Source organism: Homo sapiens, chromosome 19 (assembly GCF_000001405.40).
Source record: "Homo sapiens chromosome 19, GRCh38.p14 Primary Assembly".
Lineage (NCBI taxonomy): Eukaryota > Metazoa > Chordata > Mammalia > Primates > Hominidae > Homo > Homo sapiens.
The window spans coordinates 42,741,146-42,767,687 of NC_000019.10; the positions used below are offsets into that span (position 1 = coordinate 42,741,146).

Sequence of the window (26,542 nt, forward strand, 5' to 3'; positions counted from 1 at the left end):
GACAGTTCTCGGTCACTCTATGGCTCCCTGGGGTCTGGCGGCTGAGCTGGAGCTCATGGTTTCTCATGTTCTTCCTGACCATCTTTGATGTCCTCTCTTCTCTGCCCAGCTTATTGTCCTGTGGTCACCACACCTTCCCCGTGGTGGTGCAGGAGGAAGTGGGGAGTTACCCAGGAACCCCGGGGGACATGGCTCATTGAGATGCAGGAGGGGGAGCCTGGGACAGAGCAGGGGTTCAGAGCTGGAGAGATTCATCCCAACTTACTCTGTGGCCATGATGGGCTCAGCCATCCATGTGCCGACATACCCAGGGGTCTGTCCTGAGGTTTTTGACCTGGCCAAGCTGCTGTGTGTAGAGGAGGAACAGGTAGTGGCCAGAGAGCCTGTCTGGAGGGACGTTGCTCACACCTGAGTGGGCGTGTGGGGGTGAGTTGTGTTCTGGGAGCAAAGAGCAATAACATCCCCCTTCTCCCAGCAAGCACACAGGAGAGGTCTGTCTTCCCAAGGGACAGCTGGGGGTAGGTGGCCACATCCCGGATGGTGCCTGTGTGTGAGCATCACACGTGCTCTGAGCCCCCCGGGGTGCAGGGAGCAGGCAGGACACAGGGTGCCTGGCTGATTCCCGGGGAGGCTGTGGGCCCTCAGGCAGCCACTGTTCTGTGTCAGTGCTAGGCTTGGCCTGGGATGCCCCAGAGAACAGGACAGATGGAGCAGGGGCAGGCATTTAGGGAGCAGTGACAGAACGAGTTGATGAGGATGGAGGGAGGCCACGAGGGGAAAGCACCCAGTGTAGTGTCGCGTGCACCAGCACTGCCCTGGGAGATGCCTTTAGCTGGGCCCAGGGAAGGAGCAGGTGTGTGGGGAGGAGCTCCCTGCAGGGGGAGTGGTGTTAGGTTGGCGGCCCCCAGGTCAGGGAGGAGCTGACAGAGTCCGTGTGGGGAGCATGGAGGGCGCTGAGGACTTGGGCCGAAGTGACCCTGGTGAGGGTGGACCCTGCTGGGCTGTGGGTTCCGTTGAGGGCGGTTGGCATCCCCTGGGAAGGCTCCAGGCTGGGAGGGACTCTGTCCCCCTCTGGTGGACAGGGAGGGAAATGTGAACGGCAGCAATCCCAGGCCAGGCTGCATGTTTTATTCCACATGGATCTGCACACTTCACACGAGGTCACACATATGTTATGTTATAGCTCCTTCACCTTCCAGCCCCGTGAGTCCCAGTCTGTGTGGCTCTATGTTCACTGTTCTCCCTCTTTCACAATCAGATGTCCCAAATGCAGATTTTTGTCACCTTCTGTGAGTTTGTGTTTGTGTGCAGTAGGCAGCACTGTGTATACCCTGGGGGCAGTGATGTCTGGGGCTGAGCAGTGCACATGGGCTTGGGAGAAGAAGAGGGAGCAGCAGGGTGGGAAGATCAATGTCAGGGGGGCAAGGACAAGTCATTTTCATTTTCTCACTCCCAGGGACCAGAACCCAGGATTCTGACTCCAGGGCACAGTACCACACCCTGCTGGTGTCCCTGGATGTCATGATGCTCATAGTGTCATGTTGCCTTGTCATTCATCTTTTATGGTGTAAGTTTATTTGCCTCAAATCAGAGGCAGGGCTTGGTCACCAATGCAGTTTCAATACTGTATCTGGTTCAGGTGGCTCCAGTTGGTGTGCAGAGATAAAATCTTAGAGGCATCTCTCCTGCTTGGTGTGCTGGGTTTCCCTCTCTCCAGCTGCTTTCTTTAAACTGATAATTCTGACATTTGCCCTCACATTTAAAGTGACCACCTCTCAGTCACAGCGTGAGCCCCTGGTCCCAGTGTTTGCTGCTTGCTTTGAACACATCCATTAAAGCTCCCTGCTGGAAACCTGTCAGATAACACCCTGGACTTAATAAAGCCATTGGCTTACCGGTCTCTTCTCTCCTCTCTCCATGGGCTCACTGACCTCTGTGTCTGTGGTCTCCAGGTGTGCCAAGTGCTCCCCAGTGTCTGTAAGTAGTAAAAATACTTACACTTTCACGTTGTGGTTGTATCACTGTGGCCTCACATGCCATCCAGGGTCTGATATTGAGGCTGCCTTATGGGACCTGTGCTGGTTGAGCCCCTGCTGGAGCTCTTGTTTTGGGGCGTCTGGTTCTGCTGGGGACAGGAGCTTCCAGCTAACTTGATTGAAAATCTGATGCCTTTCATTGAAACACTGGGTCAGATGATGTATTCATGGGCTTCAGCTGCCATAACAGACACCTTAGCCTGGGTGAATTAAATAATAGAAATCTATTTTTCACAGTTCTGTGAATAATGTGCTATTTTAACCACTTTAAAATGCATAATCAAGTGAAATTAACCACTTACACAGTGTTAAATTACCATCACCAGTATTTTTCCTAGAAAATTTTTATCATTTTAAACTGAAACTTTGTATCTTTTAAACAATAACTCCCTGTATGTTCCACCTTAGACCTTGATCTTCTCTACTCTGTCTCTATGAATTTGCCTATTCTTGATGCTTCATATAAATGGAATTATACAATTATGTTATTTTGTTTCTGACATATTTCACTTAGCATAATGTTTCCAAAGTCCATGCATGTTCCAGCGGGTGTCAGAGCTTCCTTCCTCTTTATGGCAGATTATCATTCTGTTGTATGTGTCACCATATTTGTTTATTCATGTGTTGATGAACACTTGGATTGTTTTCATATTTTATCTTTTGTGAATAATGCTGCAATGAACATTCCCATGCAAGTACCTGTTTGAGTCCCTGGATTTAATTCTTTGGGTATATACCTAGGAATAGATGTTGTTTCAAATGAGAATTCTATGATTAGCTTTTTTTTATTATTATACTTTAAGTTTTAGGGTACATGTGCACAATGTGCAGGTTTGTTACATATGTATGCATGTGCCATGCTGTTGTGCTGCACCCATTAACTCGTCATTTAGCATTAGGTATATCTCCTAAAGCTATCCCTCCCCCCTCCCCCCACCACACAACAGTCCCCAGAGTGTGATGTTCCCCTTCCTGTGTCCATGTGTTCTCATTGTTCAATTCCCACTTGTGAGTGAGAATATGCGGTGTTTGGTTTTTTGTTCTTGCGATAGTTTATGAGAATGATGATTTCCAATTTCATCCATGTCCCTACAAAGGACATGAACTCATCATTTTTTATGGCTGCATAGTATTCCATGGTGTATATGTGCCACATTTTCTTAATCCAGTCTATCATTGTTTGACATTTTGGTTGGTTCCAAGTCTTTGCTATTGTGAATAGTGCTGCAATATACATACGTGTGTATGTGTCTTTATAGCAGCGTGATTTATAGTCCTTTGGGTATATACCCAGTAATAGGATGGCTGGGTCAAATGGTATTTCTAGTTCCAGAATCGCCACATTGACTTCCACAATGGTTGAACTAGTTTACAGTCCCACCAGCAGTGTAAAAGTCTTCCTATTTCTCCACATCCTCTCCAGCACCTGTTGTTTCCTGCCTTTTTAATGATTGCCATTCTAAGTGGTGTGAGATGGTATCTCATTGTGGTTTTGATTTGCATTTCTCTGATGGCCAGTGATGGTGAGCATTTTTTCATGTGTTTTTTGGCTGCATAAATGTCTTCTGTTGAGAAGTTTCTGTTCATGTCCTTCACCCACTTTTTGATGGGGTTGTTTGTTTTTTTCTTGTAAATTTGTTTGAGTTCATTGTAGATTTTGGATATTAACCCTTTGTCAGATGAGTAGATTTCAAAGATTTCTCCCATTTTGTAGGTTGCCTGTTCACTCTGATGGTAGTTTCTTTTGCTGTGCAGAAGCTCTTTAGTTTAATTAGATCCCATTTGTCAATTTTGGCTTTTGTTGCCATTGCTTTTGGTGTTTTAGACATGAAGTCCTTGCGCATGCCTATGTCCTGAATGGTAATGCCTAGGTTTTCTTCTAGGGTTTTTATGGTTTTAGGTCTAACGTTTAAGGCTTTAATCCATCTTGAATTAATTTTTTAGAAGGTGTAAGGAAGGGATCCAGTTTCAGCTTTCTACATATGGCTAGCCAGTTTTCCCAGCACCATTTATTAAATAGGGAGTCCTTTCCCCATTGCTTGTTTTCTCAAGTTTGTCAAAGATCAGATAGTTGTAGATATGCAGCAGTATTTCTGAGGGCTCCGTTCTGTTCCATTGATCTATATTTCTGTTTTGGTACCTGTACCATGCTGTTTTGGTTACTGTAGCCTTGTAGTATAGTTTGAAGTCAGGTAGCGTGATGCCTGCAGCTTTGTTCTTTTGGCTTAAGATTGACTTGGCGATGTGGGCTCTTTCTTGGTTCTATATGAACTTTAAAGTAGATTTTTCCAATTTTGTGAAGAAAGTCATTGGTAGCTTGATGGGTATGGCATTGAATCTGTAAATTACCTTGGGTAGTATGGCCATTTTCACAATATTGATTCTTCCTACCCATGAGCATGGAATGTTCTTCCATTTCTTTGTATCCTCTTTTATTTCATTGAGCAGTGGTTTGTAGTTCTTGAAGAGGTCCTTCACATCCCTAGTAAGTTGGATTCCTAGGTATTTTATTCTGTTTGAAGCAATTGTGAATGGGAGTTCACTGATGATTTGGCTCTCTGTTTGTCTGTTGTTGGTGTATAAGAATGCTTGTGGTTTTTGTAGATTGATTTTGTATGCTGAGACTTTGCTGAAGTTGCTTATCAGCTTAAGGAGATTTTGGGCTGAGACAATTTGGTTTTCTAGATATACAATCATGTCATCTGCAAACAGGGACAATTTGACTTCCTCTTTTCCTAATTGAATACCCTTTATTTTCTTCTCCGGCCTAATTGCCATGGCCAGAACTTCCAACACTATGTTGAATAGGAGTGGTGAGAGAGGGCATCCCTGTCTTGTGCTAGTTTTCAAAGGGAATGCTTCCAGTTTTTGCCCATTCAGTATGATATTGGCTGTGGGTTTGTCATAGATAGCTCTTATTATTTTGAGATATGTCCCATCAATACCTAATTTATGGAGAGTTTTTAGCATGAAGCATTGTTGAATTTTGTCAAAGGCCTTTTCTGCATCTATTGAGATAATCATGTGGTTCTTGTCTTTGGTTCTGTTTATATGCTGGATTACATTTATTGATTTGCATATATTGAACCAGCCTTGTATCCCAGGGATGAAGCACACTTGATCATGGTGGATAAGCTTTTTGATGTGCTGCTGGATTTGGTTTGCCAGTATTTTATTGAGGATTTTTGCATCAATGTTGATCAAGGATATTGGTCTAAAATTCTCTTTTTTGGTTGTGTCTCTGCCCGGCTTTGGTATCAGGATGATGCTGGCCTCATGAAATGAGTTAGGGAGGATTCCCTCTTTTTCTATTGATTGGAATAGTTCAGAAGGAATGGTACCAGTTCCTGCTTGTACGTGTGGTAAAATTCGGCTGTGAATCCATCTGGTCCTGGACTCTTTTTGTTTGGTAAGCGATTGATTATTGCCACAATTTCAGATCCTGTTATTGGTCTATTCAGAGATTCAACTTCTTCCTGGTTCAGTCTTCGGAGGGTGTATGTGTCGAGGAATTTATCCATTTCTTCTAGATTTTCTAGTTTATTTGCGTAGATGTGCTTGTAGTATTCTCTGATGGTAGTCTTTATTTCTATGGAATCGCTGGTGATAACCCCTTTATCATTTTTTTATTACATCTATTTGATTCTTCTCTCTTTTCTTCTTTATTAGTCTTGCTAGGAGTCTATCAATTTTGTTGATCCTTTCAAAAAACCAGCTCCTGGATTCATTAATTTTTTGAAGGGTTTTTTGTGTCTCTATTTCCTTCAGTTCTGCTCTGATTTTAGTTATTTCTTGCCTTCTGCTAGCTTTTGAATGTGTTTGCTCTTGCTTTTCTAGTTCTTTTAATTGTGAAGTTAGGGTGTCAATTTTGGATCTTTCCTGCTTTCTCTTGTGGGCATTTCGTGCTATAAATTTCCCTCTACACACTGCTTTGAATGTGTCCCAGAGATTCCGGTATATTGTGTCTTTGTTCTCGCTGGTTTCAAGGAACATCTTTATTTCTGCCTTCATTTCATTATGTACCCAGTAGTCATTCAGGAGCAGGTTGTTCAGTTTCCATGTAGTTGAGCAGTTTAAAGTGAGTTTCTTAATCCTGAGTTCTAGTTTGATTGCACTGTGGTCTGAGAGATAGTTTGTTATAATTTCTGTTCTTTTACATTTGCTGAGGAGAGCTTTACTTCCAAGTATGTGGCCAATTTTGGAATAGGTGTGGTGTGGTGCTGAAAAAAATGTATATTCTGTTGATTTGAGGTAGAGAGTTCTGTAGATGTCTATTAGGTCCGCTTGGTGCGGAGCTGAGTTCAATTCCTGGGTATCCTTTTTAACTTTCTGCCTCATTGATCTGTCTAATGTTGACAGTGGGGTGTTAAAACCTCCCATTATTATTGTGTGGGAGTCCAAGTCTCCTTGTAGGTCACTCAGGACTTGCTTTATGAATCTGGGCGCTCCTGTATTCGGTGCATATATGTTTAGGATAGTTAGCCCTTCCTGTTGAATTGATCCCTTTACCATTATGTAATGGCTGTCTTTGTCTGTTTTCATCTTTGTTGGTTTAAAGTCTGTTTTATCAGAGACTAGGATTGCAACCCCTGCCTTTTTTGTTTTCCATTTGCTTGGTAGATCTTCCGCTATCCTTTTATTTTGAGCCTATGTGTGTCTCTGCACGTGAGATGGGTTTCCTGAATATATCACAGTGATGGGTCTTGACTCTTTATCCAATTTGCCAGTCCGTGTCTTTTAATTGGAGCATTTAGTCTATTTACATTTAAAGTTAATATTGTTATGTGTGAATTTGATCCTGTCATTATGATGTTAGCTGGTTCTTTTGCTGGTTAGTTGATGCAGTTTCTTCCTAGTCTCGATGGTCTTTACAATTTGGCATGATGTTGCAGTGGCTGGTACAGGTTATTCCTTTCCATGTTTAGTGCTTCCTTCAGGAGGTCTTTTAGGGCAGGCCTGGTGGTGACAAAATCTCTCAGCATTTGCTTGTCTGTAAAGTATTTTATTTCTCCTTCACTTATGAAGCTTAGTTGGGCTGGATATGAAATTCTGGGTTGAAAATTCTTCTCTTTAAGAAAGTTGAATATTGGCCCCCACTCTCTTCTGGCTTGTAGAGTTTCTGCCGAGAGATCCGCTGTTAGTCTGATGGGCTTCCCTTTGTGGGTAACCCAAGCTTTCTCTCTGGCTGCCCTTAAGATTTTTTCCTTCATTTCAACTTTGGTGAATCTGACAATTATGTGTCTTGGAGTTGCTCTTCTCGAGGAGTATCTTTGTGGCGTTCTCTGTATTTCCTGAATCTGAATGTTGGCCTGCCTTGCTAGATTGGGGAAGTTCTCCTGGATAATATCCTGCAGAGTGTTTTCCAACTTGGTTCCATTCTCCCCGTCACTTTCAGGTACACCAATCAGACGTAGATTTGGTCTTTTCACATAGTCCCATATTTCTTGGAGGCTTTGCTCATTTCTTTTTATTCTTTTTTCTCTAAACTTCCCTTCTCACTTCATTTCATTCATTTCATCTTCCATCACTGATACCCTTTCTTCCAGTTGATCGCATCGGCTCCTGAGGCTTCTGCATTCTTCACATAGTTCTTGAGCCTTGGTTTTCAGCTCCATCAGCTCCTTTAAGCACTTCTCTGTATTGGTTATTCTAGTTATATCTTCGTCTAAATTTTTTTCAAAGTTTTCAACTTCTTTGCCTTTGGTTTGAATTTCCTCCTGTAGCTTGGAGTAGTTTGAACGTCTGAAGCCTTCTTCTCTCAACTCATCAAAGTAATTCTCCATCCAGCTTTGTTCCATTGCTGGTGAGGAACTGCGTTCCTTTGGAGGAGGAGAGGCACTCTGCTTTTTAGAGTTCCATTTTTCTGTTCTGTTTTTTCCCCATCTTTGAGGTTTTATCTAGTTTTGGTAATTGGTGATGGTGATGTACAGATGGGTTTTTGGTGTGGATGTGCTTTCTATTTGTTAGTTCTCCTTCTAAGAGACAGGACCCTCAGCTGCAGGTCTGTTGGAGTTTGCTAGAGGTCCACTCCAGACCGTGTTTGTCTGGGTACCAGCAGCTGTGTCTGCAGAACAGCGGATTTTCGTGAACCACAAGTGCTGCTGTTTGATCGTTCCTCTGGAAGTTTTGTCTCAGAGGAGTACCCGGCCGTGTGAGGTGTCAGTCTGCCCCTAGTGGGGGGTGCCTCCCAGTTAGGCTGCTCGGGAGTCAGGGGTCAGGGACACACTTGAGGAGGCAGTCTGACCGTTTTCAGATCTCCAGCTGCATGCTGGGAGAACCACTGCTCTCTTCAAAGCTGTCAGACAGGGACATTTAAGTCTGCAGAGGTTACTGCTGTCTTTTTGTTTGTCTGTGCCCTGCCCCCAGAGGTGGAGCCTACAGAGGCAGGCAGGCCTCCTTGAGCTGTGGTGGGTTCCACCCAGTTCGAGATTCCCGGCTGCTTTGTTTACCTAAGCAAGCCTGGGCAATGGTGGGCGCTCCTCCCCCAGCTGCGCTGCTGCCTTGCAGTTTGATCTCAGACTGCTGTGCTGGCAATCAGTGAGACTCCATGGGCATAAGGCCCTCTGAGCCATGTGCGGGATATAATCTCCTGGTGTGCTATTTTTCCAGCCCATCGGAAAAGCGCAGTATTAGAGTGGGAATGACCCAATTTTCCAGGTGCTGTCTGTCACGCTGGGAGCTGTAGACTGGAGCTGTTCCTATTCGGCCATCTTGGCTCCAGGACCCTATAATTAGCTTTTTGAGGAACAGCAAAACTGTTTCTCCTAGTGGCTGTACCTTTTTATATTCTCACCAGCAATGTATGAGGATTCCAAATTCTACATAATGCTGCCACTTGTTATTTTACAATTTAAAAGAATGGTAGCCAGTTTTGTAGGTGTGATGTGGTGTCTCATTGCAGCTTTGACTTTGTATTTTCCTAATGACTAATGATGTTGAGTATCTTTTCATGTCCTTCTTGACTATTTGTATATCTTCTTTGAAGAAATGTCTATTTGAGTCTTTTGTCCATTTATAAATTGGATGGTTTCTCACTTTGTTATTGAGTTGTAGCTAGTTCTTGATATTATCTGGACATGAAAACTGCCTATATGTGGTTTGCAAATATTTTCTCTCATTCCTTGTCTATTAATTATTTTCTTGATATTTTCCTTTGATGCACAAAATGCTCACATCTTTATAAAGCCCAATTTATCTTTTTTTTGTTTCTTATGCTTTTGTGTCATATCTAAGAATCCATTGCACATTTGAGGTCATTAATATTTACCTCTATGTCTATTTTAAGATGTTTTTATGGTTATAGGTCTTATATTTAACTCACTGATCAATTTTTTAGAGAATTGTTTGATATGGTGGGAGGTAGAGTTATCTAAATTCACTGTTTTGCATGTGGTTATCTAGTTGTTTCTGCACTATCATTAGAAAGGAGAATTGTTCCTCCATTAAATTGTCTTGACACCCTCTTCAAAGAGTAATTGACCATAAGTGTGAGGGTTTATTTCTAGGCTCTCAATTCTATCCCATTTGTCTTTATGTCCATTCTTTTGCCAGCAGCTTATGTCTATTCTTTGGCAGCAACTTCTGTTTTAATAATTGTACTGCTTTGTGAGATTTCAAATAAGAAAATTCAAGTCCTACAATTTATTTTGGCAAGATTGTTTTGGCTATTCAGGGGTCCTTTTTTGAAAGGTGGGGAGGCCAATGTTTCACAATTGGGAAAGCCATTTCTGTCTTCTTCATGGGGAAATTTGGGAGAATCTTTTAAGAAACTTAATCTAAGTAGGTAAACTGTCACCACTTTATTTGCTGAAGTGCTGTGTTAAAGTGTGCATTGACTCTTGTGGAAGAATTGTGACTCTGGAAGCACTTGCCCACATGGTGAGAGACAGTGAATTCCATGATGAGGGGCAGAGATGATGTTGTTTTGGGATACAATGTTGTTGGGGGAGTTGTATACATCTCTACTTCTTTATGTCTCTGTACAGTGGGTGTAGGGACCAGCCACACAGGGTCGGTGGGTTTTTCTCTCCATATGCAGAGATGAGAGATTGTAGAAATAAAGACACAAGACGAAGGGATAAAAGAAAAGACAGCTGGGCCCGGGGGACTACTACCACCAAGACGCAGAGACCAGTAGTGGCACCGAATGCCAGGCTGCACTGATTTTTATTGGATACAAGATAAAGTGTCAGGATAAGGAGTGTGAGCCATCTCCAATGATAGGTAAGGCCACAGGGGTCACATGTCCACTGGACAGGGGGCCCTTCCCTGCCTGTCAGCTGAGGCAGAGAGAGAGAGGAGAAAGAGAGAGAGAGCTTACAGCATTATTTCTGCTTATTAGAGACTTTTAGTACTTTCACTAATTTGCTACTGCTAACTAAACAGCAGAGCCAGGTGAACAGTATGGAACATGAAGGCAGACTAGGAGTGTGACCACTGAAGCACAGCATCATAGGGAGACGGTCAGGCCTCCAGATAACTGCGGGTGGACCTGACTAATGTCAGGCCCTCCACAAGAGGTGGAGGAGTAGAGTCCTCTCTAAACTCCCACGGGGAAAGGGAGACTCTAAGTAGCTTTCCCAGTCTGCTAAGTAGCTGGTGTTTTTCCTTGACACTGAGGCTACTGCTAGACCAGGGCCCGCTTGGCAATGGGCATCTTCCCAGACGCTGTCGTTACCGCTAGACCAAGAAGCCCTCTAGTTGCCCTGTCTGGGCATAACAGAAGGCTCGCCCTCTTGTCTTCTGGTCACTTCTCACTATGTCTCCTCAGCTCCTATCTCTGTATGGCCTGGCTTTTCCTAGGTTATGATTATAGAAATGAGGATTATTTTAATACTGGAATAAAGAGTAATTGCTACCAAGTAGTGATTAATAATATTCATATATAATCGTATCTAAGATCTATATCTGGTATAACTATTCTTCTTTTATATCTTATTATACTGGAACAGCTCATGCCCTCGGTCTCTTGCCTCGGCACCTGGGTGACTTGCTGCCCACAAGTGGGCATCTCCATTGGACACAGTAGGTTTTGAAATCCTTGTTTATCCTCTGGGGTCTGGGTCTTGGCTTACCTGTTAGCTGCAGCTGAAAGAGGTGTCTGCTAAGGCAATGCCACCTGTGGTGAGAAGAAGGGTTCAGCAGAGTGAAAGCAGCTGGGGCTCAGAGAAACCAGGAAAGTCTGACTCTTAGAAACTGTGGGTCAGCAGATGGGTGTCCTCAGGGGTAAATGGACCATGCCAGTAGCCACTGCAGTGGACTGGAAGAAGGTAAGGGATGCCAGTTATCGCATGTTCTCTCTCAGCTCTGCAGCTGAAGATTTGGGCCCTGGGTTGGTAAGGCCCTGCAGCAGGGGAAGGGTATACAGGAATAGCTGCATATCAGGACCAAGTCCATGTCATCTTCTTAGGCATTGTTACTGCAGATGGAGGATTCTTTTCAGAGACCTGGCCTGGACACATGGGAGGGCCCACCCCATTCTTTTGAAATTATTTTAAGAGAACAGTATTAGCAAATGTGGTACATGTTTTATTCTGCTAGAATCAGTATTACTGTCACATTTTACAATGTATCTCTTAGGAAATGGCGAGAGCCATCCACAGAATGTGCATTTAAAGGGGACTCTATTATAATTTCAGCTTTCCTACCTCTTCATAGAAACCATCTTATCTGCAAACACACGGGCAATATCTCTGTGTTCATTTCTATTGGGAGTCCTGTATGCAAGGTGGAGAGAGCCACATTTCCCCCTGAGATGTTATGTAAAAGTTTGGGTTGAGATGACATATCTGACACTCTATTGTTACCCTCAGAAGCTACTACATGTGAAATTCTAATGACTGCATTATCCTGCCAAGTGAAAGAGGCAGGCATGAGCAAGGACAGTTAAGAGGGGTGAGAGCCTCATCATGATGGGGAGTCTTGTTCTGACATCTTGGGAAAAACTGTCCACAGTGTGAAGTCATCCACTTGTTGTCCTGGTTTACAGTTTGAGCATCTGTTGTTATGGTGTCGAACATTTTAGTGAGTTCTGAGTGGCTCACCCTTCAGGTACAAGGGTTTTCCCATGAAATTTACATTGAGTTGTCCACCTCCAGCTTATAGGGCTTCTGGAACAGAGTGGGTCTTTTTCTTAGCGATTCCATGGAAGAAAATGGAATTGGAGGAACTAGTAGAATTCAGGGTAATGTCCAGTCTACAGGTGGATAATAAAAACACAGAAACAATGAACAGAGATGCAATCTCATAACAGGTGTACTACAGTTTTTATTTTCCACATAATTTTTCTCTCTATGGGCATCTCTAGTTTTACCAATGATAATTTCAGTAGAATAAGTTTGTTTGCAAAATAGGTTGAGTTTCTTCAAACGTGGTCTGATTGTTTACATAAGTGCAGCAAGAGTAGCAATGGACCGTGTAGGCTCTCTTTTAAAATTTTCTTTTCTCTAAGTTTTTATAAGGAATCTGAGATTAAACTTTTACAAAACTCTTGAGAATAGGAAGCCAAACCAAGGCTGACTTCAGACTTTGCCTGCAGTTCATACTGGTTCATTCTATCTATATCCTTAAATATAACATCCCAGTCAAAGCCTTGGTAATATAACCAATGATTTGAAATGTGTCCTGTTACAAAGAGAGCAGATTGTTGCTGTACTTGTGCAAATATGTGTATTACCATAAACATATCAATTCTCATGAATAGTTGCCCAATTCTGGGGCAGTCAGGTAGAAAGCAAAAGTAAATATTTCAATTACAGTTCAATAAACTGCGGTATAGTTTATTGAACTGCTATAAGCTACAGATAGGTTAAAAGAGAAAAATTCCGTCAATGTAGAAAACAAACCATTTAAAGAATCAGCAAATTTTCAAATGAAAATCATAAAAACATTATCCTCATTATTATCAATTATTTCATTGAAATCAATGTTTTTCCTGCTTGGTCTAGGCTGGGAATTTTATGAAGATATCAGCCTGTTTGTTAAAGTTTTCAAAGTTCTTAGACAAATTTGGAGGGTTTAGGAGGAGAATTTGGGATTTGCTTGTGCCCATGGGACGCAGGCTGGGAATAAAAATGTTTTCCTGACTCTTCCCTGAAGGCCAGATAGACTCCACCTAAATCCCTATTGCCAAGGATACTGGGATCCGCTTACCAGAGACTTTTACTGTCATGGATTTGGAGCTTTCCTTGCCAGTGGCTGAGTTACGAACAGAGCAAGCATAGAGCCCGCTATGCTTTGTAGTAATTTGGGGGATAAAGAGCTTTTGTCCTGATAGCTGAAACTTCCCATTAATTGTCCAAGAATACTGTGCCGGTGGGTTAGAGTCCGCAGAACAGGACAAGTAGAGGACTTCTCCTGAACGGTAATAGGTGAATGAAGGGTAAATTCTGGGGAGGTCTGGACCATCTGGAGCAAAGAGAATAAAGCCACAGGTGATGTCATCTGAGGGAAGGGGATGTTCCTGGTCTCTTAAAGGGACACAGTGACCCTCTGAGCCAAGACACACCCTCAAGTCCCAGCCCAACCCCCTCTATGTTCACTGAGCCGAATCCTCAGGTATTCACCTGTTTCTCCCATCACAAGCTGTGGGCCCCAAGTCTCCCATGACAAGAGCGTCCACTCCCCTTATACTCTTGGTTAAGGCTGTGCCTACCCAGGTTTTCCCAGGGCAGGGAGTCATGGCCAGCTCGGATGTCCAGAAGTGAAGGTGTCTATACTTGGACCAGAGAGAGAGTGAGAGGCCTGGCCTCTGGTCGTTTTGATTTAAGCTGGTGTCCTGGCCCACAGAGGAACAAAAGATACTCACAGAGGACATTCAGGGTGACTGGGTAACTGCGGATGCCACCATATTGGTCCCTTATTTCACATTGATAGGGTCCTGTTTCATTTCTCGTGACACTGGGTAGAATGAGGATCCTGTTTTCAATGGGTCGCTTTACCCTGGGACTGACCGGGAGGCTCTGACCATTTAGCCACCAAATGTAGGTGTAGTTCTCACTCTTAGGTTCACAGGTGAAGTTTAAGACATCCTTATTCTCCCTGGGTTTTAAGTTGTTGATGGTGATGTAGGGCTTGGGCAGCTTCGCTGTGTGGATAACAGAGAGAAGATTGTCCTGTGTGGCACCTTTGATTCCTCCACAGGCATCCTTCAATCAGAGTTGGCATCTCCCACTTCTCAGCCCACCCGAGTCCTTGAAAGCCAATAGCTGGTGCGTGTGTCACAAGACAGATGCATGATGATCTAAGGGCTCAAAGACTATGAGGCCAGCTGCTCTGTCTTAGGGAAGCACAGACTTTCTCAAGTGTCAATTGAGCAGCAGTGTTGGGTCATGGACAGACACGTCAGTGGAAGTCACAGCCCCTGGTATCCCTCCCAGTCCCTCCCTAATCAGTTGACTGGCTGGCTCACCCTGGGTTCCTTACCTGGAATGTGCAACTGGTGGGCCCCTTCCAAATTCCATCCTACATTGTCCCCCTAGATGTGATTTCTCTGCAGCTTCCATTTCCAAGGACATTCTAGAGATGAGTAATGATGGGACTACCCATGGTCCTGAAACCCTGAAGATACTGAGCAGCCTGGCCTGGGACTGGATGTTTCAGCAGAAATAACACAGGGGAGACCAGAATCAAGCCTGGAGGTCAGTTCAGTCATCAGGCAGTGGAGGCTCAAGGTGGGGCAGTTTTTTGCAGGTGTTTCATGATGACTTACTTGAACCAGTGACCTCTAAAGATAGAGCAGAGTGCAAGGAATGATCTAGAAAGAGTGAAGGCGACAGGCAAGAGCTGGTGGCTTTGGAGCAGAACTATGTTGCCTGTCCTGCGTTCAAGTTTCCTCTCCTTCTGCAGAGGGCAGGTGAGGACCATGTGGATCTTTCCAGAAATATATGTGGACATTTGCAAATGCAGCACTGACTGGTAGAAAGGGTGGGAAGGATCTGCTGGAAATCTGGTCCTCATGGACCATGTGTGTTTGATGGATATGAGACAAATTTGAAGAGAAGTTTTGGGAATATTTTCTTTCACTGGACATTCTACTCTCTGATTCCCTGGATTCGACTACTCTAGGGACCTCATGTAAGTGGATTCCAGAGTGAATATGAGAAGAGACTGCTGGTTGCCAGGAGCTGGGAGTGGGGAGAATCAGAAGTTGTTCATGGGTGTGCAGTTTCATTTATGCAAGGTGGGGAGGTTCTAGAGATCTGCTGTAGAGCTTGATGCCTATAGTTCACACAAATTGAGTATTTCTTATGCATAAGACTTAGGACAAAAAGTGTTTTGGATTTCTGACATTTTTTGATTCTGAAATATTTGTCATATACTTACTGGTTTAGCATCCCAAATCTGAAAGATTCAAAATCTAAAATGCTCCAGTGAGCATTTCTTTTCAGCATCAGATTAGTAGGCAAAAGTGGGAGGTGATAAGCCAAAGATATTCTTGCCCTTTTTTTTTCTCTCACCACTTTTCTAGCTTGGTGATTAGTTTTCGGTGAATTCCATACTGGCCATGCCTCACTCGTATATTTTTGAAGGCTTTGGGATGTGAAGCCTTTGAAGGCTGATTGCTATTTTCTATGTCATCAGAACTTTCCACCTTTTCATGGTTGCCTCTTTTTCTCAGTGTATCTGTTGTGGCAGTCATTAATAAGAGCCTGTCAGGTGAGATTTAGGACAGTGTTTTCTAATTCTGCAAAAAATGTTACTGGGATTCTGTTAGGTGTTACATTGAATCCGCAACTCACTTTGGGAATATTATCTTTCTAACAATATTGATTCCTCCAATCCATGAAAATGAAATGTGTTTCCATATATTGATATCGTCTTTAACTTGTTTCAGCAATCTTTTGTAGTTTTCAGGGTATAATCATTTGACTTTTTGGTTAAACTTATTCCAAAATATTTTATTCCTTTTGATGTTAATGTGAACTGAAATTCTTTCCTTAATTTCCTTTCGGATTGTTCATTGTTAGTGTATAGTCTAAAGAATGATCTAGAAAGAGTGAAGGGGACAGGCAAAAGCTGGTGGTTTTGGAGCAGAAACATATTCCCTGTCCTGGGTTTTTGATTTTCCCTCTCCCTTTGCAGAGGGCAGGTGGCTCTTCCCTGATAACTAGATAGACTTCACTGGAAAACATAGTGCCAATGCTCCAGGGATCCACTTACCAGGGACTATGATCCTCTTGATTATGAGATTTGTTCCAGCAGTGGCTGAGTTATGGATGAAACAGACATAGACCCCTCTATATGTTTTAGTGATTTGGGGGATAAAGAACACTTGTGCTGATTGCTGGAACTTCCCATCAATCAGCCAAGAATGCTCTGCCAGTGGGTGAGAGTCTGTGAGGCAGGAGAGCTTGGGGACTTCCCCTGTATGGTAATAGGTGTATGAGGAGGAAATGGTGGGGGCATCCAGGCCATGTGGAGCAAAGAGAATAATGTCACAGGCGATATTTTCAGAGGGAAGGGAAAATCTCGTCTGTGGAAGCACCACAATCACAGTGACCCTGTGAGCCAAGTCACAACATTGAAGTCCCAGCCAAATCCCAGCTGTGTTCACTGATCTGGAGCCTGAGACATTCACCTGTTTCTCCCATCACAAGCTGTGGACGCTGAGTCTCCCATGACAGGAGCAGCCTCTTTTCTCCTATTGTTGATCAAGCCTAGGCCTACTCTGGTTTGCCTGGGGCAGAAAGTCATGGCCAGGTTTGATGTCCAGGGGTAAAGGTCTCTGTACTTGGACCTGAGAGGGACTGAGAGGCCTGGTCTCTGGCCACGTGTATTTGGGATGGCAGCCTGGCTCACAGAGGAACAGAAAATACTCACGGAGGAGATTCAGGGTGAATGGGTCACTGCGGCTGGCACTCACTGGGTTCCGTATTTCACATTCATAGGGTCCTGCAGTGTACTTTGTGACACCCAATAGAAAGAGGGTCCTGTTGGTTTCAGACAACTGCAACCTGTGAGACATAGGGAGGCTCTGACCATTCATCCACCACAGGTAGCTTGCGTCCGGAGTCTCAGGATCACAGGTTAAGCTCACAGCCTCCATGGCCTCCCTGGGGTTTAATTTGCTGCTGGAGATGGAGGGCTTGGGAGTCTCCACTGTGCAGAAAACAGAGAGAAGATTGCCCTGTGTGGCACCTTTGATTCCTCCAAAGGCATTTTTCAATCAGAGTTGGCATTTCCCACCTCTCAGCCCACCCAAGTCCTTAAAAGCCCATGGCAGGTGTGTGTGTTGCAAGACAGATGCAGGGCAATCTGAGGGCTCAGAGGTTGTGAGGCTGCCTGCTTCATGTAGAAACACAGACTTTCTCAAGTGTGAATTGAGCAGCAGCATTGGGTCATGGAAAGACACAGGACCAGCAGTCACAGCCCCTGTTGCCTCTCTGAGTCCCTCCGTCTCCAACTGCCTGCCTGGCCCACCTTGTGGTCCTCACTTGGAGCATGCAGTGCTGGAATCTTCTTAGTTTCAGTCTTACTTTGCCGCCCAAGGTATGTTTTCTCTGCAGCTTCCCTTGCCAAGGACATCCTAGAGATGGGTGATGGAACTTCCAATTGTCTTTAAACCCTTTGGGTACTGGAAAGCCTGGCCTGGGACTGGGTACTTCAGCAGAAATAACACAGGGGAGAACAGAGTCAAGTCCGGAGGTCAGTTCAGTCATCAGGCAGTGGAGCCACAAGGTGGCGCAGTTTTCCCAGGTGTCTCATAGTGGCTGACTTGAGCCAGTGACCTCTAAAGATAGAGCAGAGTCCAAGGAATGACCTACAGAGAGTGAAGGGGACAGGCAAGAACTGATAGCTTTGGACCAAGACCACGTTCCCTGTTCTGGATCCATGATGCTCCCTTCCCCCTGTAGAGGGCAGGTGAGGACCATGTGGATCTTTTTGGAAATACATGTGGATGTTTGCAAATGCAGAACCGACTGGTGGAAAGGGCGAACATGAACAGATGATGGAAGTCTGGCCCTCATGGACCATATGTGTTTGGTGGATATTAGACCAATATTTGGGAAGAAGCCTTGCAGATACTTTCTCTCATTAGACATTCTACTCTCTGATTCTGAATTTGACTACTCTATGTACCTGATATCAGTGGATTCCAGAGTGAATCAGAGAGTAGAATAGGAGTTTCTACGAGCTGGGATCAGGGCAATAGGGCGTTGTTCCATGGTTGTGCAGTTTCAGTTATGCAGGATGAGGAGGTTCTAGAGATCTCCTGTACAGCCTCATGTCTATAGTTCATACAGATAAAGTGCTCCTTATGCAGAAGGCTTAAAACAAAGTGTTTTGGATTTCTAATTTTTTTTTGTTTTGGAATATTTGCAGTACATGTACTGGTTTAGCATCCCAAATCTGAAAAATTTAAAATGCACAATGCGCCAGTGAGCACTTCTTTTTAGCATCACATCAGTGGTCAGAAGTGTTGAGTTTTGGAGCATTTCAGATTGTGGATTTCTGGATTTGGGATGCTCAATTTGTAATACTGTAATTTTCCCATAAAAAGTTGTCAGGAGTTTAGACCTCATGTTATGTTCTGACTCTAGTAACAAAAAATATTTGGAGGAAACATTAAAATGTTTTCATGAGTGGAAATTTTTACTGATGGTCCAAACATCTAAGATCAATTGCTGGTAGTAGTATTTCTCTTGAGACCAACATAAGGTTTAGGTGTGCCATGAATTCCAGCAGGATCACATTATGCTCAAAGAAAGATGCCAATGGTGATTTGAAATTAGCAACTCCTTAAGTAGAGAGAGTCCCGTTAAAAGGACCGAACTGGGTAGTGTGTCAATTACATAAAGGGAGGAATGATGCCAAATTAAAAGAAGTGATGTGTGTTATGTTAGTAAATATAGAAAGAACTCCCTGCTTCTAAATTCTGTGCAGAGTTAGGAAAAATGGGGAGGACCCCAAAACAGGTATGTGAAATGCTTTCTTCATTTTCTCTTAAGCTCAGGAAACACCACTAGAGTTTAAGTTTGTGTGAATTAGGAAGAGTCTAAGTGAGATGGCAATGGCTCATGTGTCTCCCCACACGCAGAACTCCAACTTATGAAAATGGCATCAACATGAGGAAACAGTTGTATGTGGCAAAGGCAGTAAAACCATCAGATAGCACCCACCTGGCCACCTCCAACTGGTCCCCAAAACCACCAGTATTCCCATTACATGTATGTTACAGCCTTTGTAGTTGTCCCACAGCTACAAAATTTAAAAATTGCTATTGTCAAAACAAAATATTAAATATGAAGTTGAAATGTTGTTCCACTTTTTTACCCCACTCTTTTTGAACTTTCCTGTTTCAGTTTTGGAAGTTTCTATTGACGTATCCTCAAGCTAGGGATTCTTTCCTCAGCTGTGTGCAGTCTACCAGTAAGCATCAAAAGCATTCTTCATTTCTCTAACAGCATTTTTTTTTTCTGAGACAGAGTCTCACTCTGTCACCCTGGCTGGAGTGCAGTGGCATGATCTCATCTCACTGCAAGCTCTGCCTCCTAGGTTCACGCCATTCTCCTGCCTCAGCCTCCCAAGTAGCTGGGACTACAGGGGCCCGCCACCATGGCTGGCTAATTTTTTGTATTTTTAGTAGAGACGAGGTTTCACCATGTTAGCCAGGATGGTCTCTATCTCCTGACCTTGTGCCCGCCTCGGCCTCCGAAAGTGCTGGTATTGTAGGTGTGAGCCACTGTGCCCAGCCATCTCTGAGGGAGTTTAACGAGTTGTTGACTTTTGAGTTTGTTCAGCTTTTTACTTAGTGTTAGAACCGAATGACAAATTTCAAGCTTGTTATATGCCTGACAGGAAGCCAGAAGTCTCTAGGAAGTGACCAGAGAATGTGAGCTCCATAGCAGGTTGAGGATGGAGTCATGGGCGAAATGAGCCCATGGGCTTTGGGGACTGCAGGCCTGTCCAGCCTCTGACACCCTGGTGAGTCCGTGCAAAGATTACAACAGTGACAGGAAACTAGCATGCCTGACTCCATCTGGCATCTAGTCTCAGGCTGGCTGTCCTCACTCATTGCTGGGCATAGGCCAGGCTAACCTTGGGAGGAATTTAGTTTATGGTTTAAATTTGAAGCAAGAATGATAATAGTTCCTCCATAAAACTAACACCCTTACTTTGCCCAGGGACTGCCTTTGTAAAACTAGTGAAAGACCATGAGATTAAGGTTATAGGAGGGAACTGAATTCTGCTAAAATGTTGGCACAGTTTCTATAATCCCTGACTGCTCCGATGTCATTTGGCAAGAGTTTACAAAAGTTGTAACTAATTGCTCCTATAGATAACATCACTATTGTAGAACGTGAGATTGGTCTTTTGAGATGTTTCTCATTCTTTTGCATTCTGGCAACCGGCTGACCTCATCCATACCTATGACTAATGGCTCAGCCAGTCATGTGGTCCCTACCTAGAGTCAGATTTAAGGGCAAACAGATCATTTCCCTCCGCCCACATGATTCCATCACCAAACAATCAGCAGTACTTATTTTTTAGTCCTGTGCTCCTGAAACTACCCTTGAATATCTCTAACCCCTGATCCACTGGGGAGGCTGATTTGAGTAATAATAAACCTCTGTCCTCCTGTTTGGCAGACTTGGAGTCGTTAAAATCTTTCTTGACTAGAAACCAACATTTCAATAATTTTTTTTTTTTTTTTTTTTTTTTTTTTTTTTGTGCAGGAGGCCAGAAGAACTTGCCTGGCAATTATGAGTGGATGGAGGAACTGCCTATCCCTGTCCCATTGTCTTGTCCACAGGTCAGCCTCACAAAGGGAAAGAGCCCTGGATGGGAATACAGTGGAAGCTCATTCTCTTAGTGACCTGGGGACATTGGCTCGAGATGAAGCCTGGCAGGAGTGGCAACTCCAGGTGATTTCTGCACCTTTCCTATTTCCTGGGAGGTGGGCCAGGCCACAGTGTTAGTGGGAAGGGAACAGAACAGCCAGCCTAGTCAGAGGGAGTGTCTGGGGAAGGCCTAGGGGTGGGGGAAGAAGCTGTGCAGGACAGGGCTTGCCAGTCAGAATGAAGTGGGAGGAAGATGAGGGACACAGAGAAGCAGAGAGAGGCAGAGACACCATGGCAGTGAGCAGTGAGGGAGACACTGACTTCAAAAACCCCAGGGACCAGGTGCCCCCAGCTCCACAGTCCAGGACCAAAGAGCCCTGAGAACCCTCCAGTGGCCAAAGAGCTTCAGAATTACATGAGCTGGGGTGGCTTTAGGGGCAAGAGGTAGTGGGGGGATGAAACATGGGTGTCAGCCTCTGAAGGACAAGGGACAGGTGTGGCTAGAAACTCCTAGGATTCTGCATGCAAATTCAGTCTCTAAAGAGGTTTTGGATCATTCATTTCATTCCATTCCTTCATTTGTTATGTGAGAGCTCCTGAGTGTGTGTCTGTCTCGCTGGGCCTGTGCTGGTGTAGGGTGTGAGTGGGGAAAGAAAAGGTCCTCTCCTTGATCCTCTCATGACAGTGACATGGACACTTTGGGAAACACAGGATTTCAGGTTCAGTGATGGGGGCTAAGATCTGAGGGGGAGGCCTGGACATGTTTTTTCCACTGACTCTGATGGTTGAGGCAGGTGATTTAGTTCTGGAGTACAGACTAATCAGTTGACCATTTTCTCTCACTCCTCTGAGGTTTGGATGCCTAAGAAGAGAGGTTTTGAGCCAATAAATGACTATGGGGTGCTTGGAAGCCAGTGAGCCCTCACTTCTGGTGGAGGAGAGGATGAGCCTGTGGCTGCGGACACACCTCATGTGACCCTGATCTCCCCTTTGTGATTGTGTGACTCTGGCTCAGGGACTGTGTCTTCCTGTACCTCAGTTTTCTGTCAATCAGATAAGCTAAATGGCAAATGGACAGTGGCTTTTCATGCTATCTGTGAATAAATGTTAAATGATTCACAGTCACCTGACCTAATGCTTGGCACAGTGGAGGTTTCACACAAATAGCATTTATTATTAATTTGCTTCCATGAGAAAGCCCCTTTGCGTCAGATCCCTGTGGGCAAGCTGCTACCAGGTACATCTTCTCTCTTGTGTTTCTGCTTCTGGGGACATTAGACTTTCTATGGACTGGCCTAAGCCTCCTAAGGCAGTTGTCTGATGGCCTACAAAGCTTGTCTTTCTGTCCTCTCCACTCTGAGTGTCAGGTGAAGAAAACTCTGTCCTTGCCCAGATGAGGCTCTGAGGGCTGAGCCCTGGCTGGTGAACAGCTCCAGGAGACACAGTCCTCTGACAGCTGGTAAATCCTCGGTCCCAGTAAGCCCTGCCCAAGAAGCCACAACCCAGCCCCAGCACAGGCTCCTCAGATTTATCTGGAGCAAGGATTTAGGGACACTGTTCTGGGGGTGAGGCTTCTAGGGCTGAGCTTCTCTGAGAGTATCTCAGGGGCTCCTCAGGCCAAGCCCTACTCAGTTCTCCAGGGTCTTTCTCAGGGTCAAATTTATGAAGAGGGCATGAGGTGCTTGTCTGAGACTGATCTCCTCCTGCTGAGTCCCCCCATCAGACTGTCCTTCCTCTGCAGCGAGTGTCTGCAGGGTCTGGATGCGGGAAAGGAATTCTGATCTGTTGAAATTTGTCTCCTCTGTGTGTGTCCTGCACTAAATGCCCAAACCCCAGCATGGGACATAATGCAGAGAGGGACACAGGCAATGTCCAGGCCTGACAATCCTGTGTGTGTGAAGTAGAAGTGACCCCTGTCCCCCAACACCCAGGGATCATGTGGAATCACTCACGATATAAGGTGAAGGTGAAATGTCCAGTTACTCCTCTATTCTCATCACCTCCCATTATGATGTGTAAGGTGTAGGATCCTGCGTCTTCCTGGGTGACATTCTGGATCAGCAGGGATGCATTGGAATATATTGTTTCTCGTCCACTGTATGCAGGCCCATATATAATTATTTGACCGTCTACTACATATGATGTAATGTAATGGTAGAGGTCCCTGATTTGCCCTTTGTACCAGATGTAGCCAGTAAGATTCTGGGGCAAATTGTGGACAAGTAGAAGAACATCCTTCCCCTCAGAAACTTTGGTTGGCTGGGCTTCAATCGTGACTTGGGCAGTCGTGGGTGGGTTCCAGAAGTTTAAAAGTGATGCTAGGAGGTGGAGAGAGCATCAGTCAATATTGAGAGCTATGTATTGGTGTGAAAACATGGGGCCCTGGGTCCTGAGAAGTTCTCTTCAGTCCTCAGCCTTGAAGACACAGACACACACACATACAAACACACGCACACACACACACAAAAGCGGCATGTGTGTCTGTGTGTGTGTATGTGTGTGTGTCCTACTATCCTACTAGGTCAAGGTCAGCCCCATGACCCCCATTCCTTCAACACTTCTGACCTTGGCATTTTTCTGTTTGCAATCCTCTTCCCCAGGGGTCCGCATGGCCCCCTCCACACTGCCCTCAGGTCCTGCTCACATCAGGGCATCCTTAGATTTCTTTCCTGACACCTCCTTCAGATACCCTGGGTCTTCCCTTTCTGACCTTTCCCTGCTCTGCTCCCTCCAGGGTTCTTCTCAACACCTGACCTTACATTCTAGATCTCTTTGCATGTCTGTCTTCCCCTCCATGACAGCGTGAGCTCCATGAGGACAGGGATTTTTGTGATCTTGGTTGCACCCCAGTGCCCAGAACAGGCTGCAGACTCCTGTAGATGTGAGAGTTCTCAGGGCCCTCCACGCCCTTGGTGTTTTTTTTTCCCCCCAATTGTTGAGGTTTCTTGCTGAGGACAGTGTTTCATGCCCTGTGTATATTTTTATGTGAAGTGTCATCTGATACAGTTATTATTATCATATTTCAAAATGTGGTGGCCCCTGATGATTAATCAGGAAAACAGAACACAAGATTTTCCTACCTCTTACCAATTCTGGTTCCTGTGACTTTCCTGTTTTGACCCCTGTCCCTCTCTGGTGTATTTCCCCCTATCCAGGCTCCAATAGAGCCTTCTTTCCTTTTTCTCTTTTTTCTCTTTTTTTTTTTTTGAGATGGAGTCTCATACTGTCTCCCAGGCTGGCGTGCGATGGCACTATCTCAGCTAGCTGCAACTTCTGCCTCCTGGGTTCACGTGATTCTTCTGCCTCAGCCTCCCGAGTAGCTAGGATTAGAGGAGCACACCACAATATCTGGTTAAATTTTTGTATTTTTAGTAGAGACAGGGCTTCACTGTGTTGGCCAGACTGATCTTGAACTCCTGATCTCATGATCCACCTGCCTCAGCCTCCCAAAGTGCTGGCTTCTTTCATTTTTTAGTACCCCATACTCTCAAGGAGACCCCATCCAGTCACTCTGCTTCCTCCTCCTGTCCTCTCCCAGGAGGTTCTCTCCTCACCTGTGAGCAGGAGCCCCTTCCAGGTGATGCGCTGTGTGCAGGGAGGGGCTGAGAGGAGCCCCATGGTCTCTGCTGTCTGTGTGTTCTCCTCTGTGGAGATGAGCCTAGGATCCAGAAGCTTCCTGAGCACAGCTCTCAGCAGTGCTGTCCTGCCTCCTTCTGCGCTGAGCTTCTTCCCGGGGCAGGAGCACCTCTCAGGTTCATGGGCGGGGTCAGGCCCAGGACACCTCTCTGTCCCCTCCTCTCTCAGTCCTGCCTCCTTGTCCCTCCTGTTTTTCCTTTTGTCTGTGTTTCAGGTCCCTGGGAATTGTGGAGGCCTCTGCCTTTTTCAGCAGTGATTCTTTCACCAAACCTCAACACACACTTTGTGCAGACACACACACACACACACACACACACACACACACACACACACACACACACACACACAGAAGGACACACACAGACCTACACAGTCAGAAACATACCCTGCAGGTTGGGCAAGCAGAGTCCTGGGCCTCAGCCTCCTGCTGTCCCCATGGCTCTGGGTCGGGGTGCACATTCATGCCCTTTGGCCTCTTTCATCCCCATCTGGCTCTCCCCTTCAGTGCAGGAGGCTGGAGCTGCACCAGGTCCCTGTCACAGTGACACCCCATTGTGCTGTGGGTGAGCTGTGTGTTGCCTGGTGAGAGGGACCCTTCCTTTCTCTAATCGTGTCTAGCTTGGCTGCAGCTTCCAAGGATGGACACTCAGGACCTGGGTGTCCCAGAGGAAACTGTCCTTCCTGGAGGTGTGCAGGGTGAATCTCTCATGTCTCTTGGGAGGAGAGGCCTGTGCTGGTTGCTCAGTGGGGGCTGTGAGTCCCATAGTCAAAGGGACAGTTCTCGGTCACTCTGTGACTCCGTGGGGTCTGGCCACTGAGCTGGAGCTCAGGGTTTCTCATGTTCTTCCTGACCATCTTTGATGTCCTCTCTTCTCTGCCCAGCTGATTGTCCTGTGGTCACCACACCTTCCCCGTGGTGGTGCAGGAGGAAGTGGGGAGTCACCCAGGAACCCCAAGGGAGATGGCTCGTTGAGACGCAAGAGGGTGTGCCTGGGACAGAGCAGGGGTTCAGAGCTGGAGAGATTCATCTTGACTTACTCCGTGGCCATGATGGGCTCAGCCCTCCATGTGCCGACATACCCAGGGGTCTGTCCTGAGGGTTTTGACCTGGCCAAGCTGCTGTGTGTAGAGGAGGAACAGGCAGTGGCCAGAGAGCCTGTCTGGAGGGACCTTGCTCACACCTGAGGGGGCGTGTGGGGGTGAGTTGTGTTCTGGGAGCAAAGAGCAATAACATCCCGCTTCTCCCTGCAAGCGCACAGGAGAGGTCTGCCTTCCCAAGGGACAGCTGGGGCAGGTGGCCACATCCCGGATGGTGCCTGTGTGTGACCATCACACGCACTCTGAGCACCCCGTGGTGCAGCGGGCAGGCAGGTCATAGGGTGCCTGGCTGATTCCCGGGGAGGCTGTGGGCCCTTAGGCAGCTGCTGTTCTGTGTCAGTGCTAGGCTTGGCCTGGGATGCCCCAGAGAACAGGATAGATGGGGCAGGGGCGGGCATTTAGGGAGCAGTGACAGAAAGAGTTGATGAGGATGGAGGGAGGCCACGAGGGGAAAGCGCCTAGTGTGGCGTCGCGTGCACCAGCGCTGCCCTGGGAGATGCCTTTAGCTGGGCCCAGGGAAGGAGCAGGTGTGTGGGGAGGAGCTCCCTGCAGAGGGAGTGGTGTTAGGTTGGCGGCCACCAGGTCAGGGTGGAGCTGGCAGAGTCCGTGTGGGGAGCATGGAGGGCGCTGAGGACTTGGGCCGAAGTGACCCTGGTGAGGGTGGACCCTGCTGGGCTGTGGGTTCCGCTGAGTGAGGTTGGCATCCCCTGGGAAGGCTCCAGGCTGGGAGGGACTCTGTCCCCCTCTGGTGGACAGGGAGGGAAGTGTGAACGGCAGCAATCCCAGGCCAGGCTGCATGTTTTATTCCACATGGATCTGCACACTTCACACGAGGTCACACATATGTTATGTTACAGCTCCTTCACCTTCCAGCCCCGTGAGTCCCAGTCTGTGTGGCTCTATGTTCACTGTTCTCCCTCTTTCACAATCAGATGTCCCAAACGCAGATTTTTGTCACCTTCTGTGAGTTTGTGTTTGTGTGCAGTAGGC

General features: G+C 45.8%; 1 protein-coding gene across 7 annotated transcripts, besides 1 other annotated feature; it reads right to left on the reverse strand.

Moving 5' to 3' along the window:
* Nucleotides 697-912: a silencer, noted in NCBI's record as "fragment chr19:43245994-43246209 (GRCh37/hg19 assembly coordinates)". NCBI's record gives its function as "represses an EF-1alpha promoter that drives an FKBP-Casp9 reporter gene in an ReSE screen in HepG2 liver carcinoma cells {active_cell/tissue: HepG2}" and the evidence as "EXISTENCE:reporter gene assay evidence [ECO:0000049][PMID:32094911]".
* On the reverse strand, nucleotides 11,541-24,533 carry PSG8 (pregnancy specific beta-1-glycoprotein 8). Of its 7 annotated transcripts, none has more exons than XM_047438848.1 (6): nucleotides 24,373-24,533; nucleotides 17,471-17,796; nucleotides 16,857-17,135; nucleotides 13,843-14,121; nucleotides 13,188-13,442; nucleotides 11,541-12,231 (listed from the first exon to the last, which is right to left on the reverse strand). In XM_047438848.1, the coding sequence occupies exons 2-6, from the start codon at nucleotides 17,559-17,561 to the stop codon at nucleotides 12,215-12,217; spliced, it is 921 nt and encodes a 306-aa protein (XP_047294804.1). In that variant the 5' UTR covers nucleotides 17,562-17,796; nucleotides 24,373-24,533; the 3' UTR covers nucleotides 11,541-12,214. The 7 variants fall into 7 exon arrangements, with proteins under 7 accessions (XP_047294804.1, NP_001123639.1, NP_001123640.1 ...); NM_001130167.2 differs by lacking the exon at nucleotides 17,471-17,796 and adding an exon at nucleotides 22,771-23,136; NM_001130168.2 differs by lacking the exon at nucleotides 17,471-17,796.
* Between the last annotated feature and the right edge of the window lie 2,009 nt (nucleotides 24,534-26,542).